This window comes from Homo sapiens, chromosome 3, assembly GCF_000001405.40.
Source record: "Homo sapiens chromosome 3, GRCh38.p14 Primary Assembly".
NCBI lineage: Eukaryota > Metazoa > Chordata > Mammalia > Primates > Hominidae > Homo > Homo sapiens.
Genome location: NC_000003.12, coordinates 38,147,037 through 38,155,680, shown reverse-complemented (window position 1 = coordinate 38,155,680; position 8,644 = coordinate 38,147,037). Strand labels below are relative to the sequence as shown.

Below are 8,644 nucleotides of genomic sequence, written 5' to 3'. Positions count from 1 at the left end.
AGTGAGCCGAGATCACTCCACAGCACTCCAGCCTGGGCGACAGAGTGAGACTGCCTGAAAAACAAAACAACCACCCCCCAACACACACACACAGGCACACACAAAACAATGCTGATAGAAACAAAGTAACAGAAAAATTAATAGAGTATGGTTGCATTCACAGAAAGATCAAAGAAAGTACAATTGAATAAACTTCTGTATTAGATGCTTAAGAAAATCAAGGAGACAATAAAAAAAATTCAAGTTAGTGATTAGCTCTAGGGGGAAGGAGAAGGCTGCAGCCCAGATAGGGCACACGGAGGACTTAAAAGATACGGGTCATGTTCTATTTCTAAACCTGGATGATGGGTACACACATGCTCAACTATTCATAAATATTCATGTGCTCTTTCTAAGTATGTTTCAAAATTTAAATTCGATTTCATATTTCAGGTAATACCAGTGTTTATGGCACCCCCACCCCAGCCCTTCCTCTCTTTCACTCTGAGGAGACACCAACATGCTCCATTCCCACCTGGTCTCATTGTGCCTCCTTCAGCCCCTGTGCTCAGCTTATTACTCCTTCCAGGAATGCCACTTTTCTTTGGCTCCACCTGTCCAGGTCTTACCTGCTCTGCCCGGTTCAACTGATGACCCACCCTCCCTGCTCCACCCACATCCCTTGGAATGCTTTTTCTGAGATTGTTCCAGCCCTGAGGGCAGTTGTATATGCTTACCACCTCCCTCAGACCATTTCTGGGTACTTAGCCTGTGGTGCCATGTACCCATAGTCTTCTCTTTTTGTGAATATTCTGTATTTCAAATTAGGTTGTAGGTCCCCTGTGAGGAGTGGAAATACCCTATGACTAGAAAGGAAGTAAGGCATTTTTCTGGGGTTTTCGTTTTTTGCCCACCTTAAGTCCTGTCAGCATAATGACAGTCTGAAAACTTATGAAGAGCTGATTTTCTCCCCTTTTTAGGAAAATCTGCATAAAATATGCTATTCAACTCTCAGCCTTGGGCAGGAGTATCTCTGAGAGGCAGCTATAATTTATAAAACATTCAAAACTACAGGTACCATCACTATCTAAACCCAGGAACTGAATATTCATATTTATTTTCAGATAACTTGGTATCCCCCACTCTCTGAACTCAGGAGCTGAATAGATTCAGACAGCATGTAATATAATGCCTACTTTCATAACATGAATTCAGATAAAAAGCCCTGAGCAGCCATTAGATTTAAGTGCTAGGCAACACGCTAAGGGATATAAACACCTCATTTAATCAGTAAAATAGCCTTGTGAAGTTTTATGCCAGTTTTACGGATGAGAAAACTCAGAAATGTTAAGAAACTTGCTCCAGAAATTCCTGGAAATGCTTAGCACAGTGCCTGGCTTATTTTAAGTGTTGAATAAGGGATAGCCAGTAATTATAGGTTGATGGAAATAGAATGAAGCATTACAGAGACAAAGATTGGGCAACAATGCTGAATGGTTTGACTCAGGTCTGCTTACTCAGGAAAAACAGGAAAAACAGACATCTGTGTGATGTCATTCACACCATACCACTGCTGCATCATTGCTTGCCCATGGCACTGCCTAATTTCTTATTGCAAAATCTGATTAAGGAAATAGAAGTTTTCTATTTGATTCCCAGTGGATTGTGAAGCTTTCTTTGCTTTGTACCCAACCTGAACAAATGAATTAGGGTTCAGGGTCTACCAAAATTAGAGAGGGCTCTGCCTGTGTAAGCTTTGAATTGGAATTTTTAAGACATCAGGAAATGGGAACTAAAGTGCCCCTTAGTCTCGATCAAATGCAATTCACAAATATTTATGAACGATTCTCCGTGTGCACAGCTGTGAGCAATCTACCTAAAGAGATCATTTTCCAGTGTCCAAAGGGGCCTAGGCCCCCAGAACTGGCACCGTTTTCCTGGTGAATGGCAGTGGACCCCATCCAGCAGGCAGTGAAGACGTTATCCTCCTATTATGGGTAACCTGGTCTCTCTTAGGTAAATGCTAATTCAATTAGCTCTGCAGTGTCTAGTTGAGCATGAGTGTAATATTGACATAGAATTACATATAACTGTCCTACAGAATGCCCTGCCCAAAAACTTAACCCCTTCAAATCCTAGATAGAAAAAGAGCTTCCTGTGCCCCATGAAGGCATGGGGAGGTGTTGTGGAGGCCTGTACAGAGAGTTGGAATGAAAGCCTACAGAGGTGAGACTTAGTGACTGAAAGAAAATGGTTGGAACTATAGACTTCAGTGCTGGATGCTGGCATCACATTCCTAAGGCCAGATGAGGCCCGCTGCATCTCAGCAGGTGACACATAGCAAGTCAGGAATCAAATCAGGTCAGGCACTCCATGCCAGAGCCAGAGGACAGTACAAGGACCTGCTCACAGAGATCCAAGGCAACTCTTTCTTTCTACCACAAGGTCACGTGAGTCTTCTCTTTCCCAAACTCCCAGACACCATCTTGGCAAGATGAAGGGAGAAGGGAAGGAGGCCTAAAAAACAGCATTTGCCTAAGAGTGATCAAGTTACCCACAACGACACCAAAAAAATCTGATAATATTATTAATTGGCAAGCTAAATTTCCCCTTCCCACCCAGCAGGGCAAGGGTGCATGCAAAAGATTAAATTACGCAAAACAAAGAAGCTACATTGTCTTCTCACCTCTGAGTTATAAATGTGCATACCTACTCTAATGATTTTTATGCTTTAAGTTACAGAGCAGACATATGAATTGTCTGGTTACAGCTAGTCCTTCAGTGAAGCTGGAAACACCCACACAGTTATTGGTAGAGCAGGAAAGGGAGCCCTTGTGACAGGAGCAGTAGTGATTCAGGGCAGACTAAAGATGGGCCCAGTGTTCAACAGCAAAGTGGGCAGAACCCACAGCAGAACAGGAAGCAGACTATCAGTGGACATGGAGGGACTGGGGTTGCAGGAGCACTGCAAGGGGCTTGCAACAAACCCATTTTGTCTCGGTTGCTCGTGACAGAAAACCCAAAGTTCATTAGGATGCCAGCATTCTTGCTGTAACATTGGCCAGATAGAAATGCATTTCACTTTGGCTGGGTACCGTAACTCTTGCCTGTAATCCCAGCACTTTGTGAGGCCGAGGTGGATGGACTGCTTGAGCTCAGGAGTTCGAGACCAGCCTGGCCAACATGGTGAAACCCTGTCTCTACTAAAAATACAAACATTAGCAGGGTGTGGTGGTGTGCACCTGTAATCCCAGCTACTCAAGAGGCTGAGGCAGGAGAATCGCATGAGCCCGGGAGGCGGAGCTTGCAGTGAGCTGAGATTGCACCACTGCACACACCAGCCTGGGTGACAGAGTGGGACCCTGCCTAAAAAAAAAAAAAAAAAAAAAAAAAAGGAAAGAAATCACTCTGACATAAAAGTCTGAGTGTAAGCAGTCCTGAGTGGTAGTTCAACTCTGTAGTGTCAGGGACCCAGGCTCTACCGATTTCATCTCTGCCATCCTCAACATGCAGCTTCCAGCTCCCACCACCACACCCACATTTCTGCAGCATGAGATGGGTAGGTTTTGAAAATATCAGGCACACACCTTTCTGTTGAGGTCACAGACTAAAAGTTGAACATATCACTTCCTCTTACATCCCATTGCTCATAACTTAATCATATGACCATACAAAGGGCGTTGGTTAGTTATTGCCACAAAGATGCTGTGTGACAAACAACCACAAAATATCAGTGGTAGATAACATTAAGCATTTACTTCTTGTTCAAGTGTCTGCAGATCAGATTGTATTTGGCTGATCTAAGTTGGACTCAGCTGGGCTTGGCTCCAGGCTACTCCTGATACCAATTACTATGCCAGTCAGGTCCTAACAGGAAACAAATGGCACACTCAAAATGGACAATTTGAGGACAGTTTAATAAAGGAAGTATTCTCTCTCTACTCTCTGATCTCCCACTGATGCCTCCCATTGGCCAAGCCCAAGAGGAAACCTGTGGACAAGGGGAGCCGGTCAATACCTTGGGTCACAAAGCCTGGTGCAAAGAGCCATGCAAAGTCATGGGCAGGGAATAGGGAAACCAAATGGAATAGTGCAGTACTCTAGGGCCAACCACCTCCAGGAGCCATTATCATTCCTAGGCCTGACAGAGCAAGAGGACTAAGGCCTACTAGAAGCAGAGAAAGTAGGAGAGAGAGAAGACTGCCTGAAAGTAGCTGCAGCCTTTTGTAGAGAGGTGTAATCAGTCCTCAGCAATCCCACAAGAAGAGAGCCAAGGGAATAAATATCCTCACTTCATTCTCTTTCTGCTCTCTGATCTCCCACTGGTGCCTCCTACTGGCCAAGCCCAACAGGAAACCAGTGGGCAAGGGGAGCCTGTTGATGTAATCCTTGAAGGTCATTATCTTGGGGCACAGAGGCTGGTGGAGAACAAGGGAAGATGTGGAGGAGAAGACAGATAATATCTAGCACACAACTCAAACTATTTTAAACAAACAGAGAATTTGCTGGCTCACATATCTGAAAATTCTGGCAGTAAGTCTTGAAGCAGGGGCTCACATGATGTCTTCAGTATCTGGTTTTCTCTACAGGCTTCATACATAAACCTTCATACACAAATATAAATTCTGGAGCCACTTTGGAGCATGATGGCTCTCCTCCCATCACTCTCCAGAATTTAAAACCTTTTACATTCAATCACAGTCGAGCTACCAAAGGAGTCATTGTGTCTCACTGAATCTGTTCAAGTCACATGACATACCTGAACCAATCATAGTGCTCAAAAAAAAAGAGAGGTGCTCTTTGGTTTTGGTCTGTGTCTGGAGGGAAATCGTGGCGTGGAATCTAAATGAGGAGATGGAATGTTGATGGTGGGTAGCCAAAAACACTGTATTATCCTAGGTCTCTCTTCCCAAATGCATGGGGCAACGTTTCTCAACCTTTCTATATCTATTAATTACTTGGGGCTCCTATCAAAGTACAGAATGTATGAGTCAGGTTTGGAGTAGGGCCTGAGAGTCTTTATTTCTAATAAATGGTGTCAATATTACTGGTCCAGGGACCACACTTTGAGTAGCAGCGTTCTTTAGAAGCACAATCCAATATATAGTAGCCACTAGCCATATGTAGTGATTGAGCACTTGAAATGTGGCTAGTCCAAATTGAGATGTGCTGTAACTGTAAAATACACACAAAGTACCTTTTTAAGATTCAATGTGAAAACAATGTAAAATCTCATCAATAGTTTTTATATTGATTACATGTTGAAATAATATTTTAGAGATGACATTTTTATGTAAATGATATTTTACATATATTCTATATATTTTAGATCCTTAGGTTAAATAAAATATGTTATTAAAATTAATTTTGACTGTTTCTTACAACTTTTTTTAATGTGGCTGCTAGAAATTTTTCAATTATGTATGTGGCTCAGAATATCTTTCTGTTGGATAGCCCTGCTTTAGAAAGAGGTAACACCTGAAGCAGCTGAAGTTGTTGTTTTTAAAACACATTCATTTTCACTTATGGATAAGCAACCAGAGTAATCTCCTTTAACAAGAGCCACATGAGACCTATCTCATATGTCCTTGGCCTTGGCCCACCCTCATGACCTCAGGGATAGGTCATTGCAAGTTGAATTAATGCATGAGTGTTTAGGACAAGGAACACTGGAATGGGCCATTTGATCTGAGGAAGGAGGAAATTCTGGAGACTCCAGATTCTCCTTCCTATCCAGCAGTCACTTCATTTCTCATTTTTGTTTGAGCAGCTGCCTGAAGCAGAAACTACTACTGTGCTTATCAACTTCCCTAATCTGTCTTGCGTACGACCACTAAACTAATTTTCTCCACACTCTGGTTTTAACAATTCCTTCCTAACCAGACACGATCCATGCTCCCTGTTGCAGCCTGAGTTCCAGGGCCCCCAGTCATTCCTACTGAACCTGGAGGGTCTTATCCCACCAGTCTACTCCCTGCTCCTAAATATGCCTCTCACTTTCCCCTTCTGCTTAAATTATTTCTTTACTGCTTGAATCTCCTTCCCCTCTTGGTGTCTACCTGCCAATTCTACCACCTTCCAAAGCCCCTAAAGGTCATCTTTTCAAGACCTTTGTCCCACAGAGGCCTGTCTGCAGGACTTGTAGGACATACTGTCTTTGGCACCAGCCAGCACATATGTTATGGAGGACTCTGTTGCCTAACTCTTGAGTTCTTCAGATCTTCTGTGTTTGTGCTTCAATTATTCCACTGGGTTTTAAGTTTCTTGAGAACAGAGCCATGCCTAGCTTAGCTTTATATTCTGCTTTTGACCTGGACCAATATAATAAGTAGGTCCTCAAAAGCCAAGTTGGTCAATTTTTTCAACATAAAATGAAATTGCGGTTGAAAATACATATTCTTTTACATATGCATAAATATAGTTATCAGTGATCACTTTTATAATGAAAAATATTCTTCCTTTAAAAAACAAGATGGAAAATTAAGCTTTGGTCATTGCATAAGCACCCAGGGGCTTTTGTTTCTACTTTATTTATATATTTAATTAAAATATTTAAATAACATTAATTTTATGTTATTTATATAAAATATTATTATTAAATATTAGCAAACTTCAGTATCAATATTAATAAATTTACTTCTGGCTGGGCACAGTGGTTTATGCCTATAATCCCAGCAGCACTTTGGGAGGCTGAGGTGGGTGGATCACCTGAGCCCAGAAGTTTGAGACCAGCCTGGGTGACATGGTGAAACCCTGTCTCTACCAAAAAAAAAAAAAAGTAGCCTGGTGTGGTGGTCTGCACCTGTAATCCCAGCTACTCAGGTTGCTGAACTGGGAGGACTGCTTGAGCCCAGGAGGCAGAGGTTGCAGTTGCAATGAGCCATGATCATGCCTCTGTGCTCCAGCCCAGGCAACAGAGCAAGACCCCATCTCAAAACAAATTTTACTTATATGTTAACTTATTAATTAATAAATTAAATAAAATTTAATATTAATACAATATTAAACTATATTAATTATATTAAATTAAAAATTGCTTGAATTTTTTATTTTGAAATAATTGTAGATTTACAGGAAGTTACAAAAATAGTACAGGGAAGTTCCTATATCCTCAGCACAATTTCCTGCAATGAATACATCTTACATAACTATAGTACAATATCAAAACCAGGAACTTGACCTTGGTATAACACGTGTGTAGAGTCCTATGCCATTTTACCACATGTATAGATTTGTGTAACCACCACCAAAATCAAGTTACAGAGCTACCGTACTGCAACATCTTTTTTTTTTTTTTCTTGAGATGGAGTCTCGCTCTGTCGCCCAGGCCAGAGTGCAGTGACACAATCTCGACTCACTGCAACCTCCACCTCCTGGGTTCAAGTGATTCTCGTGCCTCAGCCTCCCAAGTAGCTGGGATTACAAGTGCGTGCCACCATGCCCAGCTAATTTTTTGTATTTTTAGTAGAGACGGAGTTTCACCGTGTTGGGCAGGATGGTCTTGATTTCCTGACCTTGTGATCTGCCCACCTCAGCCTCCCAAAGTGCTGGGATTACAGGCATGAGCCACCTCACCCGGCCTGTACTGCAACATCGTAAAGCTCTGCCTCTTTGTAGTCACACCCACTCCGCTCCCTCACCATCCCAAAACACTGGCAGCCACTGATCTATTCTCCAGCTCTATAATTTGGGCACTTCCAAATGAAATTAGAATTTCATTTTGATTTATTTATAGTGTTTGAGAGTATCTGTTTGAACAGATTTTTTAGTAGGTGCTCTAGGTGTAACATTATACATATGTTAACTTATCACAGTTCTACTTGTGTTGACATTTTATCAGTTTCAGTGAGGTATAGACACCTTTCCTTGCTTTAAGTGCCTTGACTCTCCCTCATTTATAGCTGTCCCAAATATTTCCTGTACATAAGTTGAAAACTACATCAGACAATGCATAGAGTGTTTAGGAGAGGAGGTAACCTGATGGATTACATATTTTGAGGAAAGAGGAAATTGTGGGGATCCCAGAGTTTCTTCTCCCAGCCAGTAGTCATTTCATTTCTCTTTTTTGTTTGTGAAATTGCCTGAAGCAGAAATTACCACTGTGCTTATCAACTTCCGTAATCTATCTTGCGCATGACCACTAAACTAATCTTTTGCTTAAACCATCAGATATAATTTTGACAATTTAAGAAAATTAAAGCGTACTCAATTTACTCATATTTTTACTGTTTCTCTTGTTTTTCTTTCTTAGTATTCCAAGATTTTTTTCTTGTATTTCTTTCTGTTTCAAAAACTTCCTTCGGCTATTCTTTTAGGGTAGGCCTGCTGTTGACAAATTCTCATAGTTTTTCTTCAACTGAGAATGTCTTGATTTCCTCCTCATTCCTGAATAATATTTTAACTGGATATAGAATTTTGAGTTGACAGTTTTTTTTTTCAGTCTTTGAAAAATGTTGGGCCAATGTCTTCTGACCTCTGTGGCTTCCAATGAAAGAAATCTGCTGCCATTCAAAAATTTGTTCATTATTGGTAAGGCATCATTTCTCTCTGGCTGCTTGCAATATTTGTTTCTTTGTCTTTAATTCTCAGAGGTTAGACTATGATGTACCTTGGTGTGGATTTCTTGGGGTTTATAATGGTTGGGGTTTGCTCACCTTATCAGCTC

At 41.4% G+C, this 8,644-nt stretch overlaps 1 annotated feature.

The window, feature by feature from the left end:
- Window positions 70–571: an enhancer, noted in NCBI's record as "H3K4me1 hESC enhancer chr3:38196601-38197102 (GRCh37/hg19 assembly coordinates)". NCBI's record gives its function as "activates a minimal SCP1, AML or CMV promoter by ChIP-STARR-seq in naive H9 embryonic stem cells {active_cell/tissue: H9 hESC(naive)}" and the evidence as "EXISTENCE:reporter gene assay evidence [ECO:0000049][PMID:30033119]".